The sequence below is a fragment of the Homo sapiens genome, chromosome 9 (assembly GCF_000001405.40).
Source record: "Homo sapiens chromosome 9, GRCh38.p14 Primary Assembly".
Taxonomy (NCBI): Eukaryota; Metazoa; Chordata; class Mammalia; order Primates; family Hominidae; genus Homo; species Homo sapiens.
The window spans coordinates 95,453,024-95,480,158 of record NC_000009.12 but is presented as its reverse complement, the minus strand read 5'-3'; the positions used below and the strand labels follow the sequence as shown (position 1 = coordinate 95,480,158).

General features: G+C 46.8%; 1 protein-coding gene and 1 long non-coding RNA gene across 10 annotated transcripts in view, besides 4 other annotated features; one reads left to right on the top strand and one right to left on the bottom strand.

The window, feature by feature from the left end:
- Positions 1–27,135, top strand: part of PTCH1 (patched 1) — a 73,992-nt gene that overhangs the window by 36,813 nt on the left and 10,044 nt on the right. For 7 of the 9 annotated variants that reach the window (NM_001083603.3, NM_001083602.3, NM_000264.5 and 4 more), the window contains exons 7-20: positions 69–190; positions 1,012–1,159; positions 1,973–2,104; positions 2,457–2,612; positions 3,302–3,400; positions 4,000–4,125; positions 10,228–10,346; positions 11,006–11,408; positions 12,734–13,043; positions 18,161–18,303; positions 20,376–20,559; positions 21,866–22,146; positions 23,746–23,883; positions 26,539–26,681. In NM_001083603.3, coding sequence (NP_001077072.1) covers positions 69–190; positions 1,012–1,159; positions 1,973–2,104; positions 2,457–2,612; positions 3,302–3,400; positions 4,000–4,125; positions 10,228–10,346; positions 11,006–11,408; positions 12,734–13,043; positions 18,161–18,303; positions 20,376–20,559; positions 21,866–22,146; positions 23,746–23,883; positions 26,539–26,681 — 2,504 coding nt within the window. The remainder of the gene's footprint in view (positions 1–68; positions 191–1,011; positions 1,160–1,972; positions 2,105–2,456; positions 2,613–3,301; positions 3,401–3,999; positions 4,126–10,227; positions 10,347–11,005; positions 11,409–12,733; positions 13,044–18,160; positions 18,304–20,375; positions 20,560–21,865; positions 22,147–23,745; positions 23,884–26,538; positions 26,682–27,135) is intronic. The other 2 variants (NR_149061.2, NM_001354918.2) reach the window with 2 other exon arrangements.
- Positions 10,140–16,550, bottom strand: LOC100507346 (uncharacterized). The gene is made up of 4 exons (NR_038982.1): positions 16,362–16,550; positions 12,939–13,230; positions 12,713–12,827; positions 10,140–11,500 (listed from the first exon to the last, which is right to left on the bottom strand). It is a non-coding gene; the product is annotated as an uncharacterized LOC100507346 (long non-coding RNA).
- Positions 16,371–16,872: an enhancer, noted in NCBI's record as "H3K4me1 hESC enhancer chr9:98225569-98226070 (GRCh37/hg19 assembly coordinates)". NCBI's record gives its function as "activates a minimal SCP1, AML or CMV promoter by ChIP-STARR-seq in naive H9 embryonic stem cells {active_cell/tissue: H9 hESC(naive)}" and the evidence as "EXISTENCE:reporter gene assay evidence [ECO:0000049][PMID:30033119]".
- Positions 17,024–17,163: a silencer, noted in NCBI's record as "silent region_20066". NCBI's record gives its function as "represses an Ori minimal core promoter by ATAC-STARR-seq in GM12878 lymphoblastoid cells {active_cell/tissue: GM12878}" and the evidence as "EXISTENCE:reporter gene assay evidence [ECO:0000049][PMID:35858748]".
- Positions 17,024–17,972: a biological region, named in NCBI's record as "H3K27ac-H3K4me1 hESC enhancer GRCh37_chr9:98224469-98225332".
- Positions 17,109–17,972: an enhancer, noted in NCBI's record as "H3K27ac-H3K4me1 hESC enhancer chr9:98224469-98225332 (GRCh37/hg19 assembly coordinates)". NCBI's record gives its function as "activates a minimal SCP1, AML or CMV promoter by ChIP-STARR-seq in primed H9 embryonic stem cells {active_cell/tissue: H9 hESC(primed)}" and the evidence as "EXISTENCE:reporter gene assay evidence [ECO:0000049][PMID:30033119]".

Sequence of the window (27,135 nt, the reverse complement as noted above, 5' to 3'; positions counted from 1 at the left end):
TGGATTTTAACAAGGCATGTGACCTGCCTACTAATTCCCATAATTATGTGGCTGTCTTTTTATTTTAGCCTCTTGATATGGCCCTTGTTTTGAATGGTGGATGTCATGGCTTATCCAGAAAGTATATGCACTGGCAGGAGGAGTTGATTGTGGGTGGCACAGTCAAGAACAGCACTGGAAAACTCGTCAGGTAAGCCAGCTCCCGAGGACAATCTATGCCCTGTAGTCTTCTTCCTTTCCTCAAAAGCCACTTCCCTCCTGACATCGGCAAGTGTATTTGTATTAATACTTAAACCGTTATCCTCGCTAGCCAGGTGGCGTCATAGAATATTAAGAAATAGTAGCAGACTGCAACAGCTTGAAAAAGCACCTTGTGGGGAATTTTTCAAGAATGGATTTGTAGTTTTCATCAGGACCATAGTTCCTGACTATAGGGTTTAAGGAGATCTGCCCATTAGGTAGAGAATGGGAGCAGGTGTAAAGTAGGCCGGGACACACTGGTCAGAGAGAGTTGGTGGTGCGAGCTGCACAGTGTCATAGACTGTTAGCAAAAGATGGAGAGCCAGCGGCTCAATAAGAATTATCCTTTGTGCACTTGTGGACTCTGGTCAGTCAGGTGTCTGGCGTTTCGTGTAAGATTTCTCCCTTGGGAACGCCACCGTCTGGGATTTCTGCACAGCAAGTATGCGTCACTGAGCCCGGTGTATCTGTTCAAGCTATCTGCTCCTCTCCCCTTCCTGTTTCATGGAATGGAAACTGTGAAAGGAAATTGCCTATTAATTTAATTTTGGGGTATATCTGTAAAAGGTTTGTAAGGTTATACCTTTAATATGGTACATCAATCTATTAAATAAAATAACCATCCTGGTCCCATTTTAATGGAAACATGTGCTCACAGAGAAGGAAAAGAATTGCAGCCAGTGAGTTGGGGGAGCTGGCTGGGGATTTGAGGCAGTGGAAACTGCTTCCTGGGAATACTGATGATGTGCCTTCCCTTGGACTGTGCTGCAGCGCCCATGCCCTGCAGACCATGTTCCAGTTAATGACTCCCAAGCAAATGTACGAGCACTTCAAGGGGTACGAGTATGTCTCACACATCAACTGGAACGAGGACAAAGCGGCAGCCATCCTGGAGGCCTGGCAGAGGACATATGTGGAGGTAAACCCACCTTCGAATCGGCGTGCAGACTCGCTGGTTATGCAATTCTTCATTTTCACCATTATTTAAAACATTTCTTTCCATTCGCTTTATTTTCAAAACATTGCAATTCTGGGAACTTGATGGGATGAAAACTTTTTTCCTCTTCTTTGATATTGAAAATCCTGGGATAATATCTAAAAGACTAGTTCTAATTGGGGTGCCCTGAGACATGTTTAGTAACCAGTTGTGAATTCCAGAACTAAAGCACATAACAGTGTTTAAAAAAACACTTGGTTAGCAAAGGTGTCTGGAAAACATTAGCAAGGCATAGAATCTGTTCACAGCTGCAGGCCCCTTGGTCAGGTCATGTGACAGGAGCTGGCCTTTGTTTCCCAAGCAGTGACCTCTACTGAGCTGCATGTGACCTTTTAAAAGTGGCCAGCAAATGAACAGGGGGAGGAGGGCCATAAGAATGAGTTGTTTTGGATTAGTGGGGAGCCGATGGGACCGCAAGTCAATTGTGAAGTTAACGGAGAAGAGACGAGCAGTCTCAGCCCTGGAGTAAATACAGCACTCAGAGTGAACTCCAGCGACACCAGCCCTCAGCAGCACCCACTGCCACTGATTAGCCATGGCCCTTGTCCTAAAACAGGGTTCTTTAATGTTAGCCCAACTTCAGCTTCTCTCCCTGCCCTGGAATCACGTAGAACTTTTTTAAAAAATGCATCAGAAAAAAAGAAGGGCTGCGCTGTGTCACCTGAGATCTGTGCTGTCGAGGCTTGTGGAAGTGTTCATTGCATTTGGGCATTTCGCATTCTGTTGTGACCACAGGTGGTTCATCAGAGTGTCGCACAGAACTCCACTCAAAAGGTGCTTTCCTTCACCACCACGACCCTGGACGACATCCTGAAATCCTTCTCTGACGTCAGTGTCATCCGCGTGGCCAGCGGCTACTTACTCATGGTAACGCTCGATGCCATGCTCCTGGGGGCTGGAGTTTGGTTTGGTTGTTTTAGTCTTTACTTTTCCATGACTGCTCCTGCTTCTTAACTGCTCTTAACATCGATGTGCATCCAGGACAGAGAGAGCGTGGCTTCACAGTGGTTTAAAAGTGGTCGTGTAAAGCATTTTTCCCATTTGCCGTTTGCCTACCTTTGACTCCTGTCATTTTATGTGACGCCCTTGATGTAAAGTTTTGTTGTTGTTGGATAAGTTCTGCCTTTTGATTTGGGGTGATGGGTGGAGGGAAACATTAGAATCACAACACATTCTAATGTTCGGCTTTTGTTCTGTGCCCCCATTGTTCTGCTTGCAGCTCGCCTATGCCTGTCTAACCATGCTGCGCTGGGACTGCTCCAAGTCCCAGGGTGCCGTGGGGCTGGCTGGCGTCCTGCTGGTTGCACTGTCAGTGGCTGCAGGACTGGGCCTGTGCTCATTGATCGGAATTTCCTTTAACGCTGCAACAACTCAGGTACTAAAGGAGCCATTTATCTGCTGTCCGTTGACAAATGCCACCCGGCCCCCAGGCTTGGCCCAGCCAGCCTCCTGTGTGCTGTGTGTCCTTCTCACCGGAAGGGTCTTGCAGCCTTTTCCACTAGGATGCTACTGGTTTCAGGGGAATGCTGTCTCTTGATGCTGTCCGCCCTCAGGGAAGTGGGTAGGAAGTCTGTTGGGCTTATTGGTTAGTAGAGACACTTGGCTGATAGGAATGTATGTCATTGACCAGGGTTGTGGCTCTTCAGCTCTGGTGGGCATTTGCATGGCTTGCAGGGCTTGTGAAAGCTCCGATTGCCAGGCCCCACCCCCAGAGTTTCTCAGTAAGTCTGGGGCCGGGGCTGAGAATGTGCACTTCAGGGCAATTCCCAGTGATGCTGGTCCATGGGCCACACTCTGCCAATCATTGCTTAAATGAGTTGGATTCCTTCTCATTTACTAGCTTAAAAAATGATAGTACACTGACTTTCGAAGTAGAAACGTGCAGGATCTCCTGTGAGCTGAAATGGCTAGGCTTTGGGACGTCAAGTGAATTCTTCACCATGAGGTTACGGAAGCCCTGCTTCAGGAGCTGTTAGGTGCTGGTGGCAGAGTCCTAACTAGCTTTAGAATCATCTGAATTGCATCTCGCATGTCTAATGCCACCATCCTCTGTTTTTGCTGTAGGTTTTGCCATTTCTCGCTCTTGGTGTTGGTGTGGATGATGTTTTTCTTCTGGCCCACGCCTTCAGTGAAACAGGACAGAATAAAAGAATCCCTTTTGAGGTAATGCAAAAACAAAAGAAGAGAGCTTTGGGGACATCACAGCTTCCTCTGTTCCTAAGTATTTGTCCTTTAATTTTCCTCAGTCTGACCCAGTAAAGATTTCAGTCCCATGTCAGATGATGTGTCACTGGCTGCCAGTCAATGAAATAAGCTGGAAGACTCTCAGGACATGTATTTGCTATGAGAAGTCCCAAGAGCTGCATCTCGGGTGCCTTTAGGAATACGGGTGTTTGTTTTAATGTGACACTTTATCCCTAACTGCCATACATTCCCAGAGCCTGCATTTGCTTCTCTGGAGATGTCTGTCACTTAGCCATCACCTCCCTCCACTCCCTTTTAAAATTATACTTAAGCGTTAAGTCATTATCTTGCAGCTTTCTTCTCTGGATGGTAATAACCATGAAGAATTGATGACTCTGTAGATGGTACTGAATAATGCTGGTGTTAGGGGGTAAGGCAGGTGGCTCTGTTTCCCTAATGCCAGCATGATAAGCTGTAATAACAGTTGTGTTATTCTGCCACGTATCTGCTCACACAGTCTGTGCTCCAAGGGGACCATGTCCAGTGCAGCTCTCAGCGCTGTGTTTTTTTATTCCCAGGACAGGACCGGGGAGTGCCTGAAGCGCACAGGAGCCAGCGTGGCCCTCACGTCCATCAGCAATGTCACAGCCTTCTTCATGGCCGCGTTAATCCCAATTCCCGCTCTGCGGGCGTTCTCCCTCCAGGTGAGCTTCTGGTGATGAAGGCTGTGGTGATCCTGAACGGGGCACTGACTTCCAGCATCCCATGTCTGCGGTCTCTGCTAAGGCACTTCAGTTACTTATGAAGTGAAATAGAAATGCCTGTGTTTGAGGCTCTGTTTAACTGGGTGGATGCTGCTTTAAGCTTATAACCCTGACACTCCCTCTAAAAAACTAAGCCCTTCTGGAGTTTTTCCTTCCTTTCTAGCCCTATGAAGCCCAGACGTCTGTTGCCTTATAGAGTGGCCATGTCCTTTATGCATGGCTTTCGGGGCTACTCCATGTTGCCCTCTGGGGTCACCAGCGCTGCAGCCAGCTTCTGGGCCATCCCCTGCTTCCAAACACCACTCCCAGTACCTGCACTTACCCCCTCTCCCGCTGCCCACTTGATCCCAAACAGGCTACCTTTTCTTTCGCTTTTGCCAAAGCACCCCCAACCCAAGACAGTATTAAGCTGAGGTCGCATGTCAGACGGCACTGCAGGACCGCGAACTGGCGAGGCTCTGTGGAGAATTTCCTGCAGGGTCCGCCTCGGTGGGCCCTTTCTTTCCACCTCCCTTTCCTAAGTTGGCCGCCACAATCTTTCCTGTCCCCTCTTCTCTTTCCTTTTGGTCCCCTGCTCCCCTCTCAGGCTGCCCAAGCAGACTCATGATCCCTCTCACCTTCCCATGCAGAGCACGTGGGCCCCTCGTGACTTGTCCTCTCCTTCCAGACCAGGCCCCGTCACCCCCAGAGGCCGTCAGGGTATTTTCTAATCCAGACTCAGCTTCTGTGAATTGTAAGCATGGACAGTTCCCTGGGATGGGGATAGAGCTGTAGTCCGTTCTGCGCCTGGAGTAAATTACTGACGTTGCCCTTGAGCTACCTGAAATTCATAGGAATCCTAAAATTAGTTACTGCAGCCAGTAAAGCAGAGACTTCACCAGTTTGTGCCATGGTCTTCCTGAGCGCAAAGTGGCCTGGAGTTTTGATATCTCAAGATGTTGTGGGGGTTTTGTGAATTAATTTCAAATTTCAAAACCTCAATTGTTTCCCCTTTCTTTCTCTGTGATGATATGATGTCTAATTCTCAAGCTGGCCAGGTTGTTAAAGGAAATGACTTCTGTGTCACTTTTTCACTTGTTGTTAGGATGCCCGGCACACTCACACAGCTTTACTCTACTCACCAAGAGTTCCTGCAGATGCGAGCAGGAAGAGAAATTGACCAGTCTTGCATCTGGTTTCTGTTTATATTTTGTCAATATGTTTAGCTCTTTCCTAGTCTTTCCATTTGTCATGTAAGAGGAACCAATCAATCACGTATTTGAATGTCATTTCGCTAGTAACCAAGAGGCCTGGGCAACTACTGATCCTACTGGGTTTGGGAATGGAGGCATCTTTAGTATTTAGTGTGAGGCACAGCTGGAGAAAAGATTCTATGCCAATTACCGTAACCGCCAGCCCCAAAAGAAACATAAAAAGAAAAGAAAACAGGGTTTATTTATATTATAAATTTATATAGAAGTAAAAATAGTGAATCAATGAATAACGTTCAGATCTGATGCTCGAACCAAAGCACAGGACAAGGAAACTCTCTCTGATTGCTCAGTGGCATGAAAGGTGAACCAGACTCGCAGTGCAGCTGAAGTTGTAGAATGCCTTTGTGCGCAGGTGTGTGTCTGCTCAGCACCCTGTGGTACCCCAGTCTCATTTCACGTGCAGCCGGTGCTGGTATTGAGAAACTGTTCTAGAGTCTTTTAGTCATGGGACCCTGTCTGCCCATTCTCTCTCCTCTCCCCTTCTTTTCTGCTTGCCTTTTTGCTCACTGTCTTTCTGTATCTGCTCATACTCCTTCTTTTCTTCTTTTCTCTCTCATTCTCTCCTCTCCTCTCTTAGTACATACTGATGGCTCATCGAGGCCGACTCTCCTTTAATGATACCCTGTGGTGTGGTGGTCTGAAAAGCTACATGAGGTTTCCTTACGAGGAGTAGCCTTGTAGAAAATCCAGTGCGCTAAATTCTCCCAAGGTAAGCACCTTACAGAGACAAAAATGAGTACTGTTGGTTTTTGTGTTTCTGTTTCAAAGCACCACAGTATCACTGTAGAAAATTGCAACTATAGCTTCCAAGAGTCCTCATCTTACTGAAGAATACCTCCTCATGACACTGGTTAATTCTCTGTCAAAAGAAAAAAGGAGTGCTTCGCACGGTGGCTCACGCCTGTAATCCCAGCACTTTGGGAGGCCGAGACGGGTGGATCACGAGGTCAGGAGATCGAGACCATCCTGGCCAACATGGTGAAACCCCGTCTCTACTAAAAATACAAAATTTGCCGGGCGCGGTGGCTCACGCCTGTAATCCCAGCTACTCGGGAGGCTGAGGCAGGAGAATCGCTTGAACCCGGGAGGCGGAGGTTGCGGTGAGCTGAGATCGTGCTATTGCACTCCAGCCTGGGTGACAGAACAAGACTCTGTCTCAAAAAAAAAAAAAAAAAAAATAGGATAGAAAATGCAAAGAAAAGAGAGAGTGTGCAATGATTTTTGCAGTGGCCATCAGAAAATTTTCCCTGGTTCTCTTTTAAATGTATTGACCCTCAAAATTGGCCATTATGTAGCTTCTCTTTCCATTGATGAACAGTATCAGGTTTGACTCTGGGTGTTCAGTTGTGTTTATATTTGCAAGATGCTACAGATTAAACATCAAAAGGGAGTGACCCAAGGCGGTTCTGTCCAATAGTAAACCTGCGTTACCTTCAGAATTTTCCATATAAAACTCCTCCAATTTTGTAGCCTGACCAAATAATTAGATATTTTTTTCCACAAGGAAACTGTCTTAAACCTCATCAGCCTTTATCCATCTGCCTAAATGCCATCTCTACACCAGAAATCACTGGCATCAGCTGTAATTCTTTGTAATTAACTAGGGCTTGCTGGTAGCCCAGTAGTGTTTATTCTTCAATGAAAACTCACAGAACAGAACCCCTTGTTGTTCTGTCTGGTCTAGGAGGGTTCAAGTGGAACCTCCTCTGCATGTGTCCCAGCCTTAGCTGCTTTGAGGGGATGGGGCATTTCCTATGAGTACAATAACTAGAATTGATTCACAGTTGCAGTATCATCCCCATCATCTTCTCTGGTTTACTTACACTCTCTTGCCTTTGCGACAACCCTTCTTGCTTTCTGAGCAGCCCTTGCTGGTTGTTTTACTATTTTGGTGTACACCTGGGGACCTGGCACTGAGAAAATACTCCGCCATACATGTAGTAGGTTATGAGAAAGTCAGTAAGATGGGACGCTGCTTGGGGTTCTTCCCTCATCCCTTCATTTCCGTCATGGACACGGAGCAAGGTGCCCAGCAGGCTTCTCTGACCGATGAGGCCGGCTGGTGCCCATGCCTGTGCCCGTGGGGCTCCCTGTGTCACGAACCTCTGCTCTCCTCATCCTCATGAACACCTGTCCAAATTGGGATGCCCAGGGTCTCTTCTCTACATTCCACTCCTCCATTCTAAACATGACTGATTTTAAAAGCTAAAAGGATTCGGCCCCCAGGATGACATCTGGAAAATCTCCGTTAGAATCCTACCTGTTCTTCCTGCCATCCCCTGCTGTCTCACGGTCAGGTGTCCTAACCCCGTCCACAGACGTCCTCTCAGTAAGGGACCAGATCTCACAAAACTCCCGGTTCTCAGCTGAGCTAGGGGCTTGGCATCAAGTCTTTGTTTGATCTGATTTACTGGATAACCTCAGGCAGGTGACTTGACCGCACTTCGGGGACTTTATCAGGTAATACTGTCAAGAGCAGTGAGAACCTCCTGTTTGCTATGAATCAGGTATGAACGATCTGATCTTCATAGCTTCTCCTTTCTCTTCCCCAAAGTGAATTTCAAACCCCAGCAGTACTGAGGTGCTTGAGCCAGGTGTCTCCTCTTGCACACTCTGTGTTTTTTTCACAGGGAGCACCTGCCATTCCCCTGCTCCTGACTGATCTCTTTTGCTTTTCTTTTTTGAGACGGAGTCTCACTCTTGTTGCCCAGGCTGGAGTGCAATGGTGCGATCTCGGCTCACCACAACTTCTGCCTCCTGGGTTCAAGCAGTTCTCCTGCCTCAGCCTCCCGAGTAGCTGGGATTACAGGCATGCGCCACCACGCCTGGCTAACTTTGTGTTTTTAGTAGAGATGGGTTTCTCCATGTTGGTCAGGCTGGTCTCGAACTCCAACCTCAGGTGATCTGCCCGCCTCGGCCTCCCACAGTGCTGGGATTACAGGCATGAGCCACTGTGCCCGGCCCTCTTTTTCATCTTATAAACCCTGCTGAAGCCTCTCCCGGGAAGCCTGCCTTGACTGACCACCCCTCCACCCCACTGAGCTGCTCTGCAGCCTGACACCTGCCTTCATGACGCCATCCATCATTCGAGATTGTCATTTGTGTATAGGTCTGGCTCTGTGAGAATTGAGAGTAGGATTTTGTCTTATTTATCTTTGTGTCTCCAGCACCCAGCACAGTACTAGACTTTTCTTTTTAAAAGATCTCTCTCTTTCTCAGGTAAATTCTCTTGTCACAGTGGTGATGAGCTTATTTGTGTAGGTCTATCAGACAGGTCTTAAATACATTAGAGTGGTAAGCTAACATGCTTCATATTTTTCAGTTGATGAAGGATTTTCAAGATAGACCAAGAAGAAAGAGGTTAGGTAGTTTTTAGAAGAACGCTCTTGAGAGGGAATTAATTATTGGAAGACATCTCTCCGGAACTCAGGCTTGCTGGTTCACCTTCAGCATAAACTCACAATTCCCATCCAAAGCCCTTTGTGGAAGTTCTCCCTGGATTGTGTTAGGTGGCAGTTATAGCCAGGTTTTCTTTCCTCACCCTAGGACGTTTATCAGTTTGAGATTTGTGAACTAAGCAGTTCTTTGAGAAGCCTCGTTTTTTATTTTCTTTCTTTCTTTCTTTCTTTTTTTTTTTTGAGACAGACTCTCACTCTGTCACCCAGGCTGGAGTGCAGTGGTGCAATCTTGGCTCACTGCAACCTCCATCTCCCAGGTTCAAGCAATTCTCCTGCCTCAGCCTCCCAAGTAGCTGGGACTACAGGCATGTGCCACCACACTCAACTAATTTTTTGTGTGTTTTTAGTAGAGACGGGGTTTCACCGTGTTAGCCAGGATAGTCTTGATCAGGAGATCCCTGACCCCGTGATCCACCCACCTCAGCCTCGCAAAGTGCTGGGATTATAGGCGTGAGCCACCGCGCCTGGCCTCGTTTTTTATTTTCAAAGCCATGTCTGGCAATTTCCTGGCTCCTCAGCATTGCCAGTGCTTTTCTCTGTGGTGCCCCTTCTGCCGTGCCCTTCCGAGCTGGGTCGACTTCCACCGGCTTCTGTTGGCTTCCCCTATTAACAGCCCAATTTTGTAATTTTTACTAGGTCAGCAGAAGATTTGCCAACGCACTGCAGAATTTAGCCCTGTGTTTATTCTAGGTTATGGAGTGACTTTTGAATCTGTACTTATTTATTCTGCGTACTATAATCACACACAGGAATTTCTTTCTGCTTAACTCTCCTTGACCTTTTATGTTTCTTGCTCTCACACCCCACAGGCTACTCCAGAGGCAATTTGGAATGTGCCTATTAAAACCTCAGGGGACACGTGTGAAATTGTATTTCACGTTTTAAAGGGGGACATTTTGATATACTCGATCCACTTTATATAAAAATGTTTAACTGTAAAATCAGGGTCGCGTGACCTCTTGGAAGCATTCTGGAAGGGAACTGCTTCTGTTTGTTTTAAATTCTATCTCGAGTGTGCTCTCTGTTCTGCCTTTGTGGATTTGGTTTGGTTAGGTTACTAGCAACACGTTAGTAGTTTAGTTCCCAGGTTTGTGCCTTATCGGTTTATGGAATTATTAGAGATAGAAAGGCCCAGAAACAGTCAAGACTATTCCTATCAAATAGGCTCTTGATGATGTAGCAAAAGAAACTCTTAACATCTGTCACGGTTTCAAATGCTTCAAGAGGAAAGGGAAAGAAAAATATTGTTTAAAAGCATCTTTATTTTCGAAGCAGTCCTCTGATTGGGCGGAGGCATGTTGGTGACCTCTGAATTTTTTTTCTGCTCCCAGGCAGCGGTAGTAGTGGTGTTCAATTTTGCCATGGTTCTGCTCATTTTTCCTGCAATTCTCAGCATGGATTTATATCGACGCGAGGACAGGAGACTGGATATTTTCTGCTGTTTTACAAGGTACATTTTCAGACTGCTGTGGCCTTTTGATTGGGTGCAGAATGGTGCTGTGAGAGAACTCTTTCAGCCTGTGGACTTATAAAGGAATGTGGGTAACGGGGTTTGTGCTGGTGTGGAGAACGTAGGGGAGAGATTGGACAGAGGCTGCTTCCCTAGGGGGACATCAGAGTCCCTGGGCTTCCTTCTCCCCTGCCGCAGCTGAACAGTCTCACAGCCCTCAAGATGCTGGTTCCGATGACCCCTTTTTCCATCATGAACTGATGTTGCCGATTGTAGGAATGTTTCATATCTCTGCATTAGAGCAGAACAAGATTGAAAAACACCCATCTAGAAAATATATAGTCCTTTGATGGTGGTTTGGTTTTGTTTGGAATTGTGCTTTGAAGGATTCATCATCATGGAACTTGCTTTTGAAAGCCAAATTTAGGATCAGTCCTCCATGTGGCCTCCTCAGACTGACTTTTATCTAGTTCACCAGGCGATGAACCAGGTGATGTTATCAACCAGGCGATGTTTCTGGAATTCAGCAATGTGATGTTTCTCTCCTAAGTCAGAGCTGTGTAAAATGGGTATTCTCCGTACACAGTGAAAAATGGCAGAATGAAAGCACCATTTCCCTGTTTCAGCATAACATTGCAACATGTTTCCCCTCCTTTCAGCCCCTGCGTCAGCAGAGTGATTCAGGTTGAACCTCAGGCCTACACCGACACACACGACAATACCCGCTACAGCCCCCCACCTCCCTACAGCAGCCACAGCTTTGCCCATGAAACGCAGATTACCATGCAGTCCACTGTCCAGCTCCGCACGGAGTACGACCCCCACACGCACGTGTACTACACCACCGCTGAGCCGCGCTCCGAGATCTCTGTGCAGCCCGTCACCGTGACACAGGACACCCTCAGCTGCCAGAGCCCAGAGAGCACCAGCTCCACAAGGGACCTGCTCTCCCAGTTCTCCGACTCCAGCCTCCACTGCCTCGAGCCCCCCTGTACGAAGTGGACACTCTCATCTTTTGCTGAGAAGCACTATGCTCCTTTCCTCTTGAAACCAAAAGCCAAGGTAATCTGCCACAACTTAAGGCTCTTCCTGTCTTCAAAAAAATAACAGAACCTTTGGAGTTCATCAGATTGCTTCTACTTTTCTTCTTTTTCCTTAAAAAAAAAAAAATTTCGTTTAAGTATGATACATTTCAGTCCTCCAAAAGTCAATGCTTTTAGAGCATAGGGCCATTTTAATGAGGTCATCTTCCATGGGAGTGAACCTCTATGCAGCAAGTCTTTTTATGAATGAGGTTGTTTAAAAATGTGATTATTGCCACTTGCGGTGGCTCATGCCTGTTAACCCAGCGCTTTGGGAGGCTGAGGTAGGAGGATTGTTTGAGCCAGGAGTTCGAGAACAGCCTAGGCAACAAAGGCCAACCCTGTCTCTACAAAATATTTTAAAAATTAGCCAGGGACAGGTGTGGTGGCTCACGCCTGTAATCCCAGCACTCTGGGAGGCCAAGGCCAGCGGATTGCTTGAACCCAGGAGTTCGAGAACAGCCCAGGCAACATGATGAAACTCCATCTCTACAAAAAATTGCCTGGGCATGGTGATGTGCCTATAGTCCCAGCTGCTTAGGAGGCTGAGGTGGGAGGGTCACTGAGCCCAGGGAGTCGAGGCTACAGTGAGCCGTGATGGTGCCACTTCATTCAAGCCTGGGTGACAGAGTAAGACCCTGTCTCAAAAGAGAGGGGGAAAAAAGGCATGGTGCTGTGTACCTGTAGTCCTAGCTACTTGGGCAGCTGAGACAGGAGGATCATTTGAGCCCAGGAGTTGGAGGCAACAGTGAGCCCTGATCATGCCACTGCACTCCATCCTGGGAGACAGAGTGAGATCCCAACTCAGATACATAACAAAACAAGGCTGGGCATGGTGGCTCACGCCTGTAATCCCAGCACTTGGGGAGGCCGAGGTGGGTGGATCACCTGAGGTCAGGAGTTCAAGACCAGCCTGGCCAACATGGTGAAACCCTGTCTCTACTAAAAATACAAAAAAAAATAGCCAGGCGTGGTGGTGCACACCTGTAATCCCAGCTACTTGGGAGGCTGAGGCACGAGAATTGCTTGAACCTGGGAGGTGGAGGTTACAGTGAGCCGAGATGGCACCACTGCACTCCAGCCTTGGCAACACAAGACTGTCTCAAAAAATTATATATAAAACAAAACAAAATAAAAATGCGATTACTATGATTTTATCCTTTTTCCTATGGGAGAACAACCCCTACAAGATAAATCAGTTTAAGTGTGGTGGTGAAAACAAGGTATTAACTAGACAGCTTCTCTTTGTCCAGGAAGAGTCAGTGGTGCTCCCTGGGGTCTGACCTTGTGCCTCTTCTGTTCCAGGTAGTGGTGATCTTCCTTTTTCTGGGCTTGCTGGGGGTCAGCCTTTATGGCACCACCCGAGTGAGAGACGGGCTGGACCTTACGGACATTGTACCTCGGGAAACCAGAGAATATGACTTTATTGCTGCACAATTCAAATACTTTTCTTTCTACAACATGTATATAGTCACCCAGAAAGCAGACTACCCGAATATCCAGCACTTACTTTACGACCTACACAGGAGTTTCAGTAACGTGAAGTATGTCATGTTGGAAGAAAACAAACAGCTTCCCAAAATGTGGCTGCACTACTTCAGAGACTGGCTTCAGGGTAAGACGGCGTGGGAGGCTCTCGTCCTTTCGGTCTTTTGCGTGTTCAGCTTCAACAGGTTCCTTTGTCATGATTATGAGAGCGTTAGATTAGAATGTAACACTGACGTGTTTCATGGACTTTTAAGAGTTGCTCAAGATTCTTACATGAACTGTTTCTGCAGCAGCCTCCCAGATCTGGCTTTTACCTATAAAATGATGCAGATAATTCAGATGAGCTTCTGTGAGAATGTACAAGTGCACGTCAGGAAAAGGGGAGCATGTTGTAACAGGTGGAGCCGAGGCTTCTGGTGCTCTTTCCTCTTGGATAGACGGTGGCTAGTTTGGTGACCACATAAAATCAAAGTGCGGCTGGGATTTCCAGACTGATTGCCAAATTATAGCTTACTGCACCAGGAGATGCTAGATAAGCAGTGGACATAGTCTTACACTCCATATTTTGACCATCTCTTTAAAAATTATCTATTTCTAATTGACTTTGTTTTTAGAGCAGTTTTAGGTTCCCAGGAAAATTGAGCAGAAGGTGCTGAGATGGCCCATATCCCCCTTCCTCACCCACACACAGCCCCCTCGACTGTAAACATCCCGCACCAGAGGGATGCATTTGTTACAGCTGATGAACCTGCACATTATTACCCAGGCTCCATAGTTTACGGTTGGGTTCATTTTGACCATTTTTTGATTTGGTACTTGAAGTAAAGTTATAAATGCTTAGTAACATTTCACATTATTTTATAAATAATTAAATTCTGTTTTAAAATGCCTTTCTTGGTGGGGCACAGTGGCTCACGCCTGTAATCCCAGCACTTTGGGATGCCAAGGCGGGCAGATCACCTGAGGTCAGGAGTTCGAGACCAGCCTGGCCTACTAGTGAAACCAGCTCTCTACTAAAAATACAAAAATTAGCTGGGCGTGCTGGTGGGTGCCTGTAATTCCAGCTACTCAGGAAACTGAGGCAGGAGAATCGCTTGAACCTGGGAGGTGGAGGTTGCGGTGAGCCTAGATTGTGCCATTGCATTCCAGCCTGGGCGACAAGAGCGAGACTCCATCTCCAAAAATAATAAATAAATAACAGTGCCTTTATTGGCTTCTTCACTCTTAGAAATGTTTCTAGGAAATATTCATCAGCTGGAGGGGAAAAAAAAGTCTAAATTTTCTCCTGACCGACTGCACGTAAATGTATGCAGTGATTCCAGGAACATCTGTTCATTTATTCTGCATTGACACATGCAAAGCCAAGTAGAGAATCAGGATAATTATCCACCCAATTCAAGCAAAACACTTTTACTGGAGTACCAAATCATTATGGCCCCCAACATTTTTTGGCTTGGATTATCCAAATGATTGTCTTAATTTCCCACTTAATTAGGCTTGTTTAAACACAGATGTAAGTGCCTTTTTTGGTCTGAAGTCAATACACTTGTATGTAAAGACTCAGCAGCCAGTTTCCCTGAGAGTTTGCAGGAAATGGTCAACAACTTGAGGTTGGTAGAGGATGGTTCCATACAGCTTCTGGCCTTGACTTGTGTTTACCAGAACTTTGTGTCTACATGTACACCCAATTTGACTTTCCTTTTGGAGGAAGGTACAGAGAACATGCCATGATTATTATTTATTAACACCCTCCTGAGACGAACGTGAATTTGTTCCAAGTTTTATTTTTCACATTTAGTTTAGAAAGCAATGGTTTTTGGGATAATGAGTTAAAAGAGAGACAGTGGAGAGAGTCCCTGCTTTCATTTTCCCCCCATTGACCAAAGACATATAAATAACTTGCCACAAATGACAAAGAGATCTGCTGTGCCCTGCCAGTCTGTGAGCAGAGAAGGGTTATTGTAGAGTGTATTTCAGTGTCTTTGGCCATTGCTCTGGAGGCTCAATGTGGCATGTTAGGCAGGGATTGGGAAGGGGGTAAAGGGGGATTGTCTCGAGGCAGTGCAAAGGGTTAACCTTTTTATAGAGCATTGTAGATCATCTCTATACGTTTCTTCCTTTATAGATGTAAATCAGCTGGAGTTGAGTTTTTTTTTTTAAGGTGCATTTGAATCATGTTTTGATTGCTGTGTGAACAGCATACACCTAGACCAAGTGAGATCCATTGGTGCTAAGCAATCAGGGTCCCAGGCAGCCCTGGGACTCCATGACTGACTCTTACAGGGTCCGCTAGAGCACTCAACACAGAATGACCAGACACTGGAGCCCTTTGCTGCCTACACGTTTTTCAGGCCTGTTGAATGGTTGATGTGGTGTTTGAACATTTTCTACAAGGAAACAATTATCCTTGAGTCAGCTTTCCTTGCTGACATTTTTGTGTGGCTTTTAAATGGTGGGAGCCTCATTGGTTTTTAATGGAATTCCCATTAAAACTATGTCATCTCATTGGTCTTTATCGACATTACAATAGTTTGTCTTTGATTTTTTTTACTCCTAAAACTATATAATGGTTAATTTCAAAACTATCCCACATGTCACATCTTAAAACATACATGCAAATAAGGCAGAGTCAGATAAAAACCATGCCTCGAGTCATGTACAAATGTGTTCATTTTTATTTCACACTGGATTATGCAAACAAAATTTTGATTAACATTTTACTTCTAGGGTCCCATAGCTGAAGGAAAATGGGCAATTGGGGTTATTCCTTTGGCCTAGAACTTTACATTAGAAAATAATTATTGACACAAAATATTCATAAGAGGAGAACTTCTAGCTAAGATATTAAGGTTTGCTGTAAAATAAGTAAAAAGTCACAATTTTCTAGAGTGTGCATGCATTGGAATATGAAGCACTGGCTAAAGGGCAGTGGAAACCCAACCTTATCCCTTGTTTTGTATCCAGGGTCGTACCTTGTACATGTGCTTAGGCCAGCCCCTTGTTACTTGAGCTTTTTGGTGATTAGTCAGAAAATACTGTAGTAATGGGGAAAGAACTTAACTGTTCCAGAAAGTCGATGACTGTTTCGTATTCATCTTTGAACCCCCAGTAGAGTGAATGGCACCTAAGTGACCAGCAGTGTGGATTCTGAGTTGAATCGAGTTTCCAGCAAGGCTGACCTCCCCAGATAGGATCTTTCTTCCTTTGTTTCACCCTCGGGTGTCCCAGAAGTCTTTGTGTGTGAATATCATAAAACCGCCCCCAGATTTTGGGGACCCCGTTTGCCACCAGATGTTATTGATGCTGGAGTTGAACCTGCTTGTCTTACTCCTGCCTTTGACACATCCTTGGGTACCACGGTGTGTCCCCGCACTGTAGGCCAGTGAGTGGCTCCAGCTGCCTCTGGTGACTTGCTGCCTGGGTTTGAGCTCCATCCAACACTCACCTGCTGGGTGGCCCCCTCCAGTCTCCCCTTTCCAAGACTCAGTTCCTCCATCTGTGAAGCCGGAGTGATTAACTCTAACGGGGCTGTCCCTTGGTTGCCGTGGGATGCCCAGCGCCACCCCACACTCACCAAGTGTGAGCCTCTCTTCAGGATTAGCTGGTTAAGGGAGAGGGGCTTAAAGCCCAGGACACGTCATGACATCATGAAAATTGTTACAGCGAGGAAAACAGACGAGGCCTCCCTTTTTGAGGGGAAAGGAGGCGCAGTAATTTTTCTTCTGCTGTTTATTGTTTTTCAAAAACAGAAAGAAAGGGCTTTCAGTAATAAAATAACATCTGCTCAGTACCCTGTGTGTGCATGCCTCCCTATGAAAACCCGTCTGTCTGAGAGGTGCACGGCCCACCCGGTGGTCTCCTGTCCCGTCTCCCCTCCACGCTCACCCTGACACAGACTCCTTTCACCACCGAGCCCACTGTCATCCCCAAATTGTTCCTCTAGCCAGTAGTGTCAGAAGGAGGGTTTCGCTTCTTAGAGAGACAGAAGGGGGCCTGTGCTCCCCCTCCCTCCCCACACTTCAGACCCCAAGAGCTTAACCATTCTGAGCACTAACGCAACCAGATTTTTTTTGAAGCCTTTGAAATCATCCAAGGCATGTCCCGAAATGAAATAAACGCTTCTCCCTTCTTACTAGCCGTGTCCAACCCATACATGTACAGCTTGTTCAAAAGCTGTGGTTTCCTGAGCTGCTGGGGCTTGGGAGCTCTACTTGGGAGGTGGCTGGGAGGGGCAAGGGTGGGTGGGGGGAGGGGGGTGTCCCGGAGAGCGTGCGCACCAGCCAGCGCTCAGACCCTAAGGCCGGGTCACCGGGGCCCTGTTTTCTCTTCCAACATGCTTATCTCTTTACAGCTGCAGCCAAACCGTCAGGTCTGTAATGATGGTTTTGATTACTGAGGCCAAGCGCAGCTGTGTGTGGTGTGCTGGCGGGCTCGCCCATCCCCCAGGCCCAGAAAGCTCTTTCCTCCCCCTCCCCGGCTTGTGGTTTGTCATCTGTTCTCACAGAGCCTCCTTGTATTGGCCTGTGGCTTCCTGTTCTCAATCGGATCCAAATTTACCCTGTGAGGTATTTCCCTGCGTGCACACGAGCGCCTTCCCTTCCTTCTCCTCCACCCCCTCTCCTGAGGAAGGGTGGCAGAGAGGAAGAGAGCAGTCGAGAGTGAATAGGTGTTGGCTGTGATCTTTACACAACCTGGCAGCGGATCCCACAGCTTGTGTTAGCTCCACAAGTCGAACAGATGGAACAAATTGACAGAATCGTGTTCGCTCACCCTGGGCTCCAGAAGCAGCTGAGCTGCTGTTTGAAGTTGGGGGAGTTTGAATGTGCTTTTTCCCCTCTGTGTGGAATTTCTGGTTGTATTGAAGAACTCATGACTTAGCACCCCGAGTGGCACGAAACGGTTAATGACCCTGGTGCGTGTCTTTCCGTCGCACTCTTGCCTTCTTTTGTAATTGTCATGGGGCGAAAGGAGGAGAGTGGTTTTTCTTAAGATAAAATATGAGTATTTGTTTCATAGAAACAGATAATCTCCTTCCCCCCTTTTGAGCAGTGGCTGGCAGCAGCTGCAGTTCATTCATGAAAGATCCAGTGCTTTCAGTCAAAGTGGATGTGGGACACAGAGGGTGTGTTTCTGATGGACGTCTAAGAGCCCCCTGCCCTGCTCAGTCTCCTCAGCCCACCCCGCTAGGACCAGGGTCCTTCTGGCTGCGAGTTATAATGTGTTACAATCATTTGCCATTTCTAGGACTTCAGGATGCATTTGACAGTGACTGGGAAACCGGGAAAATCATGCCAAACAATTACAAGAATGGATCAGACGATGGAGTCCTTGCCTACAAACTCCTGGTGCAAACCGGCAGCCGCGATAAGCCCATCGACATCAGCCAGGTACTCCAGCTGCTGGGCACTGAGGGCGCTTCCAGGGCTGCGGGGCCGCTGCCCTGGTGGAGGCTGCTTGACAGCGTGTGACCCCACCCTGTGCTCTCTGGAGACCTAAGGCACTGGGAGCTGGTAGAAAGAATATTGGGTGACTCTAATTCACCTCCTCCCACCAGCTAATTGTGTGACCTCAGGCCAGCCAGTGCACCTCACTTTCCTCATCTGTCAAATGGGACAGGCGTGTTCCTACCACCAGAACAATTGTCAGAATAAAGTGCAGCCAAGAGAGTGCAGGCTCTTTCCAATGTTAGAAATGCAGCGGCGTGTGATTCTTTCAGTTCTAGGACTCGGTACCTTGTTGGTCTTGATGGTATTCAAGCTTGGAAAGATGGATTTCTTGGGTAGCAGTCATTTGGATGAGCAGAATTTGGGGTAGGTGGGTGGGTTAGGAGATTGGAGAGGTGACAGAAGGATGGGAAGATTTGTTACATTTGAGATCTTTGGGTGGCCCTGGCCCCAGGAGTAGACAGATCGCTCTGTGATGAGTGAAGCAAACGGAAATGTGCACCCTTGGAATCAGAGTGGCTGCGCCATTCTGCTCACTCCTGCAGTAATAACCGTTTCTGTTTGGGAATCATATTCTCCACTTGTGTTTGCATCTTCTTGCTGCCATTTGGATTCCAGCATACCCCTTTTGGTTCTGCAGGTGTGTTCAGGAGTGTGTTTTGGACTCCTCCAATTGCACGGGGCCCGGGCTACCTCAGCTTCCTCGGAGCCTCTTCCCTTGGCTCTTTGTAGCTTGCTTGCTTCACCTTCAGGCAGAAAACCGTCATGCTAATGATCTTCTCAGCAGCTATGTTTATTGTCTCCCCTTTTTTGCTGGCATTCAAGGTGACAGATTTACAAAGTACATTGTTCAGAGTTGTTATGGAGTGTGAAACTCTGAGCTCACAGCAGCAGGCAGCAGACCATCACGTTTCCCAAGGATGCAGGCAGAGGAGTCTGCCTCAGAGACACCAGGAAAGTGCCCAGGCAGCAGGGCTGGGCGAGGGACCAGGGATACTGTGGGACAAATGGGATTGGGCCAGACCCCCAGATACCATTTCCTCCTCCCGGGAGGGAGAAAGGCGTGCTGCATGCACAGAGGCCACGGGCTGCGCTGTTTGATTCCAGGGATGTGTTGAGGACATGCAGTTGTTACATATCCTGTGGATTAATTGAATCCAGATCCCCGAAATCCAGTTCTCTCACTCTCTCCCTGCTCCTTCTTCCTTCACTCCTTCTCTAGGAGCCGCTGTCACTGGTGTTTTTCATTTTGTTTAAAAAAGACCCAAAGCGAGGAATGAGGCCTGAATCTAAAATAAACAGGAAACGGAATTTTTCTATGTATATAAAACGTACAAACACATACTGAGTCCCACAGAGTTCCCCACCTCAGCAAAGCCCACAAGCCCTCCTGCCGAGGGAGCACATTTGGCCACGCAGAGGACGCGGCGTGCGGAGTACTACGACCTCCGGGAATAAGATCACCTGGCGAGGCTTGAGGGTGTGCACTCGTCCCTTGCACTTTCTGGCGCTGGGCATTTTTTGAATCCACAGGTCATAGGAGGCTAGTGTTAGCAAAATTTATACAGATGTTGTTTTATTTTTATAGCTCTCCTCCATTTACTGGGTGGCATTTCCTTCAGTGTTAACAACAGAGGTTAACTGCACACAGACGTGCATGGGGATTCTTGCCAGGTTTCTCCCCCTTCCCCTCCTATAAATATGTTTCTCCAGATTGTTCATTCTCTGCCTTGGCTGCAGACGGTCTTTTAGCATTCAGATTTAATTGGTTCAGCCAATTCCTGGGCCATCTGCAGAACTGTGTTTGTTATAAACACGCCAGTGATTGCATCCTCCGATAAGTGCACATTGAAAGAAATCAAAGGTGTTCTGATGGGATTTTCGACACTTTCAACAGTAGGCATTCTATTCTTTGTTGTAATGCTGTGCGAAGCTCAGCTTCTGTGCTCTCAAGGCAGAAGTGTGTTTACCCCCAACCCCATTCTCAAAGGCCTCTGTTCTTCCCGTTTTTGTAGTTGACTAAACAGCGTCTGGTGGATGCAGATGGCATCATTAATCCCAGCGCTTTCTACATCTACCTGACGGCTTGGGTCAGCAACGACCCCGTCGCGTATGCTGCCTCCCAGGCCAACATCCGGCCACACCGACCAGAATGGGTCCACGACAAAGCCGACTACATGCCTGAAACAAGGCTGAGAAGTAAGTAGCGTTTTATCGGGAGGTCTGGGAACTTACAGAGGTGCCTTCCCTGGTTCTCCAAACTCAGCAACAGCCTTCATCCGTTGACGCTACCCAGGGTTCAGAAGTGTAAACAGAACAATCTATTTCTTCTCGTTTAAAACTCTGGGAGACGAGGATGTGTAATGGGATACAACCCCCGCACTCTATCACATTGGGAAATCAGTGTCTCGTCTCCATTCGTAGCTTTAATGCTAAGACGTTCATTAGGCGTTGCTCTCACGTGCCAGCTGTTCCCTGTGAACACCGGGGACGCCTCCAGGTTAAGTGTTATTTTACTATTGCAGAGTTTTATCGCTGGGGATTATATGTTTATCTTAACTTTGTCAACTCTGGTGTTGAAGGGATTTTTGGCACATTGGGTCATTCCTATAAGCCACCAAGCACCTGCACTGTGTCAAAGCTGTTTAAACCGGAGCAGAAAAGTCTGTATACAACAGCGTCCTCTTCCTTTCACCTCTCAGCCCAGAGTTTGAAAGGTGGTTCTGTGTGGATTTCATTTGCATTTCTGGTGGAGATATTAGTAGCGTATGCTTTGGATACCGGGCCAAGGGAGGATGTGAGAAAGAAGACGGGTCCCCTTGCAAACATGGCTGGAGACTCAGCGAGTAGTGCTTCCCCGGATCCAGTGCTGCCCAGAGCCCTGTGGCAGGCAGCCAAGGCTTGTCTTAATGAAAATTTATAGTTGAGATTATAATAGGGCAAATCATGTTTAGCAAGTCAACTGAATGACCCCAGAGGGTCTGGAACACACAACGGCAGTAACTAAATGCTTGTTGTGTAAGGATTTCTTCCCCTGTTGCTGAAGACTTAGCATTGCATTAGAAAAGAAGCATACAAGGTTGAAGTTTGTTCAGGCACTAAAAGGATAAGTTAAGCATTTTTCTCAGGAAAGCATGACTCTTGAGTTCTTTTGCTCTTGCAAGTGATTGAATAAAACTGTGTGAACTTGGTATTTTCATATGTGTCAAGGGAACAAAAAAATGTTCCCAAAATGTAAGCCTGGAGTTTTTAGACCCCTCACAAAGAATGACTGCTGGAAGATTAAAATCAAATCTTAAAAAATACACACATCACAGAGTTAAACATTTTTAAACCAAATGGGAAGATCGTAAAGGCCTGGAGGCTATGATCAGCATTGTTTGTTCTTTGTATCATGTAGAAGAGCAGTCAGTAAGCTTTCATGCAAAGTTCTTCTCTCTTTCCATTGAAACTGTGATGCTCTTCTACCCTGGGCTGCTCCTAACCTGTGCCCTTCTCTGTCCAGTCCCGGCAGCAGAGCCCATCGAGTATGCCCAGTTCCCTTTCTACCTCAACGGCTTGCGGGACACCTCAGACTTTGTGGAGGCAATTGAAAAAGTAAGGACCATCTGCAGCAACTATACGAGCCTGGGGCTGTCCAGTTACCCCAACGGCTACCCCTTCCTCTTCTGGGAGCAGTACATCGGCCTCCGCCACTGGCTGCTGCTGTTCATCAGCGTGGTGTTGGCCTGCACATTCCTCGTGTGCGCTGTCTTCCTTCTGAACCCCTGGACGGCCGGGATCATTGTGAGTGTATTATAAGGGGCTTTGTGGAAGTCAAATTCCTTTCAGCATAGCTCTTTCTGCAGCCGGGAAGTTTTGTTTATGTCTGGGCCTCTGGAGGAGGGTATAGCTTGCATCATCCGTAATATGTTTATTCTACTCGAGGTGGTGAGGTCCATGGTTAAGGTAGAACCTCTAATGGCCTTATTCGTAGGTCCTCTCTCCTGTAGCTTGAAGATTTTTGTGGAAAGATAGGGGACTTTTTAAAGCACACCTTCCATCACAGCTCTGAACATTTATTAAATCAAAACACTCAAAGCCTAGCTCATTTTTTCTTTAATTGAAAAGTGTCATTTTGTGACCTCATCCAGGCCTAATAACGACATAGCAGGTTCTTCTGCATTTAACATGAAGGGACAATCAGAGAAGTTAGGAGAGTGATATATGGAGAAAATGATTTTGTGTGTTTTAAGTCCTGGGGGAAAATGATAAACTAATATTACGAACCTGTTTTTTGGCATCCCTTCTCCAAAATACTCTCAGATTTTGATGTAAGTTTCATGTAGAGTCTAATAAAACCGTGGCAATGTTTAAATTCTGTGAACTATGGTATAGCCTTTAAAATGCCAAAATTATAAAAACAAAGGCCAGATTTTGTGTCTGCACCGTGAGTCTGTGCAGCAGGTACATTAAAAGGTAAATGTTTAGTCTGTGAGAGTTTTCATGGCACTTAGCAATTGATGTTGTCCATCTTTCATCATTCCTTCCCCTCCCTCCACCTCTGCCCACCACCCACCCCCAGAGAAGAAAGATCATTTTTCTCCTTCTCTTCCATCTGGTAACTTGTTGTTTATTTGTATCTTCTCCGCTTTGGACCAAGAAACTCCAAATCTAACTCACAGATTTTATTTCCATTTCCCCACAAATTTTTACAAGGAAGATGAAAGGCAAGAAGCTTTTCCTTGGATTTTAACAGTTGGCTCAGTCCACCCCAGCTGTCCCCAGCTCTTCAAAGTGCAGGGCTCCTGTAACCTGACAGCGTCAGCTGATGACGACCTCCCCGCTTACCTGGCCCCCACATCATCTTTGCTTAGCCTGCAGGTTCACTCACAAAAGCAAAACTACTTTGACCTGCAAATCTTTTATTCACCCCGTCCTATCAGCTTTCTTTAGAATGGAGAGTGAGGCAACCAAAAACTTAATGATGGGTTCACGGATGGTCTCTGGCGGCTGAGACCCAAGCAGGAGGAGAGATGGGTCTTGTTGTAAACTGTGAAATTCGCAGCTAAGTGATGCGGCCATGCTTGTGCAATTCCTCGTGGATTGCGCTGGTGGAGTTGTTCTGTATGTTTTTTGCTTTCTGGAGAAGGTACATTGGAAAATAATTTGCATTAGAACACTCTACTTTGCCTTCTACAGCTTTACACATCAGCTGTCCCACAGTCTCCCTTCCCAGCGGGAAGATGAATTAGGCAGTAAAGGCAGTGTCCAGAGTTAAAGCAAGTCAGTCCATTCATTGTTTTGATCTGAACCGAGGACACCTTAGCCCTCTGGCGACCTCCCTTGTGGGCAGCCCCAGAGGGTGACCTGCCCGCCCACTGACCACTGTGTGCCCTGCTCCAGGTGATGGTCCTGGCGCTGATGACGGTCGAGCTGTTCGGCATGATGGGCCTCATCGGAATCAAGCTCAGTGCCGTGCCCGTGGTCATCCTGATCGCTTCTGTTGGCATAGGAGTGGAGTTCACCGTTCACGTTGCTTTGGTATGGGAGACATTTGAAGCAAAAACTTTGTGAAAAAACAACCCATTTCCTCTGGCTCTGTTTGTCTCCAAGTGGGAACCTTGCATTCTCCCTGTGCGTGGCAGTGAAAAGGCCTCAGGGCACAGGGGCCCCCTAGGAGAGCCTGCAAGATTTCTGGATTCCTTTCCCTCAAGGGAGGCTAAGGAGAGGGGTATGGAAGGTACATGGCAGCGGGCCCTGTCAGCCGTAGGCAGTGCAGGGTTGGTGTGTTGGAGTGGGCCTTGAAGGGCCGTGCTCACCTGACTTTGACTGTCATTATACCCCCACGATTCCTGACGTTGTGACGTTTGTTCATAAGGCGGATTATGTGGTGAGTGTGTGGGTGGGCATACACAGAGTTTTAAAAACAACAGGAACAGTGGGGATAAAATGAGACCACACTCACAGGCTTGGGGATGGCATCACTGAGGATGAGGTGAGCTGGCAGCCAAGGAAGTACCCTCGGGCTTAGGAGTGGAGGCTCCATTGTTCAGCCCCGGGGAACTGGCTCTTCTACCTAAGCCCACCCAGTTCCTCAGACCTCCCAGCCTCTACATTCATGATAGCAGAAAGTAAGAGAACCAGTGTTGCTTTCAACAGACATTTTTTTCCCTCTCTTTTTCTCTATCTTGCCCTGTGAATGCTTTGTTGGAGGTAATTAAACTTCAGAAGGAATCTTTAGTCCAAGAGATAAATCTGTTGTATACATTTATCAAAGAATTATCCAAAACATCACAACTGTGTAAATTATGTTCTGTCTGCAGATTAGAGCCTAAGAACTTGGGGTTATCAGTAGGCATTCAATAAGTAAATGCGTTCACCTGTTAAATATCGACGTGCGAAATACCCTAGCTAGGAAGCCAGCACTGGGCTTGACCAAATCACTTCCGCCATTGCTTTTGCAATCTCTAGCACAGGTTTCCTTTGGGCTCAGCACATGGCACATGCATGTCTCCACATAGGCTGCAGCCTTGTGCCTTCTGCAGTCTTTCCAGGGCTACTGTGATACAATTGAGAGATTGTAAACTTTTGTGTTTTGGAAGGAATGCTTTGTTGAAGTTATCCCATTTTTTTTACAGTGTATCATAAAAAGCCAATAATATGGCAACAGTATTCTCTAAATTTTGAGCCTGCTCAAATTATTTTCTTCCTTTGAGCTGGGAGGAGGGACTATTTTTTTAAAAAGAAGAGTGCCAGCCTAGAGTTTAGAAAACCCATAATTCCAATACAGTTCTTCAAAAGGGAGATAAATTTGCATGTGAGTTAAGAATCCATAAGTTATTTTATTCTGATGCAAATGGAAACCACCTTTTTTGGAAGCTAGCAGGGCAAATGGGTATCCCAGAGCAGATTTTTACCATGGAAATGCTAACTGCAGTCTCTAAACTCTAGGACTTCTAGTCCAAGTCATTTTCAGTATTCTGATCCTCTATGTGAAATTGCATTTAGAGTTGGCAGTTATTGCTCTTTCAAGGTTTGTAAAATGGTAGAATAAGGCTGTGAAGAAGAGTCTTCTTTCATGAATGTCTTTAGGAAATCAGTGGGTTCCCGTTCATTTGCTGTCTCAGTAACATAGAAACAGTGTGTGACAGGGTAGTCACAACTAGGCCCTTATGGCCTCATGGCCCAAATATGATGCAAGCCAGCATGGCTGAAAAACCCCTTTGGTGCCTTGCCCCAAGAGCAGAAGGCAGCTATATTGACCCTAATGTCTTTACCAACTCTGAAAGAGTAGAACCTGTTTGAGAGAAAAGTATGAAAACTCTTAGCACACCTTTGTATATTTGTATTTTTTCATCTGTTAAGGAGAACGACCGTCTCAGTCCTTCTGCAGGTAGGTAAGGGATAGAAACGCATCCTGCCAAAGACACCCAGCCCTCTCCTCTCGGCATAATCCAGAGCAGCCTGAACTTCAGAGAGAGAACTTGTGCCAGGTTCAACACTCCCTGCAGGGGTCACACGTTCAGGCCAACAGTCTGATCTTCCAGAATTTACTCTGCAAAGTTCCCGTTTAGTTATCAACAGCATTTCTGGCCTAGGAGAGCTTTAGGACTGCAGGAGAGACAGGGATGTGTCCACACAATGTTCAGAAGGGCTTGATTCAAATGTACGGTCCTGTGTATTTCTTGCAATACACTCATAGTGCTTAGATGTACTACAAACATAGCCTGAAACAGTGACAGAAGGTCTCACCTCTGCATAATCGTGAGGAAGTGTGTGTAGCACCCAATTGCTTGGGACACTGAGCTAAGCTCTTAGCCATCCAATGCATTAGCCAGAATCCTGTGCTGTGGGAATTGGAGGTCTCACGTGTGAGTGGTGTGAGATCATTTAAGGAGGGGGGAAACTTCGGGGTGAGTATCAGTGAAAAGAAGGGGACATTTCTGTCCATTTTTATATAGTTTTGATTTTACTGTGTTCAAGATTTACGTCAACACCAAATATGACCCAGTGTCATGAAGAGGTCATCTTAGTTTAAGTCTAGGTGCTGCTAGTTGAGCTACTCTGATTACACATTCTAGCAACTAAAACAGTAAGATGTGAGCAGTTCTGAGAGCTTGTAACATTTAGGACAGAGCTGAGCATTTACCAGGTGAAGTCCAGCAACCTGATCTTGTGAACATCCTCATTGCACAGGCCTTTCTGACGGCCATCGGCGACAAGAACCGCAGGGCTGTGCTTGCCCTGGAGCACATGTTTGCACCCGTCCTGGATGGCGCCGTGTCCACTCTGCTGGGAGTGCTGATGCTGGCGGGATCTGAGTTCGACTTCATTGTCAGGTAAGCAGGCGTGTGCAAGGAGACATGTTTTAGAAATCATTGTGATTGGGCCGGGTGCAGTGGCTCACGCCTGTAATCCCAGCACTTTAGGAGGCCGAGGCGGGTGGATCAGAAGGTCAAGGAGTTCAAGACCAGCCTGGCCAAGATGGTGAAACTCATCTCCACTCAAAATACAAAAATTAGCCGGGCGTGGTGGTGGGTGCCTGTAATCCCAGCTACTTGGGAGGCTGAGGCAGAGAATTGCTCGAACCCGGGAGGCGGAGGTTGCAGTGAGCTGAGATTGCGCCACTACACTCCAGCCTGGGTGACAGAGCGAGATTCTGTCTCAAAAAAAAAAATATTGTTATTAGCTCAGGTGATCTTCGTTGCTTATTTCCTTCTGTATCTGGTAGATTGCAGCACCTCGTCATCGTGACTCTGCTTTCTTTTGAACTTGTTAACGTAGAGATATTCG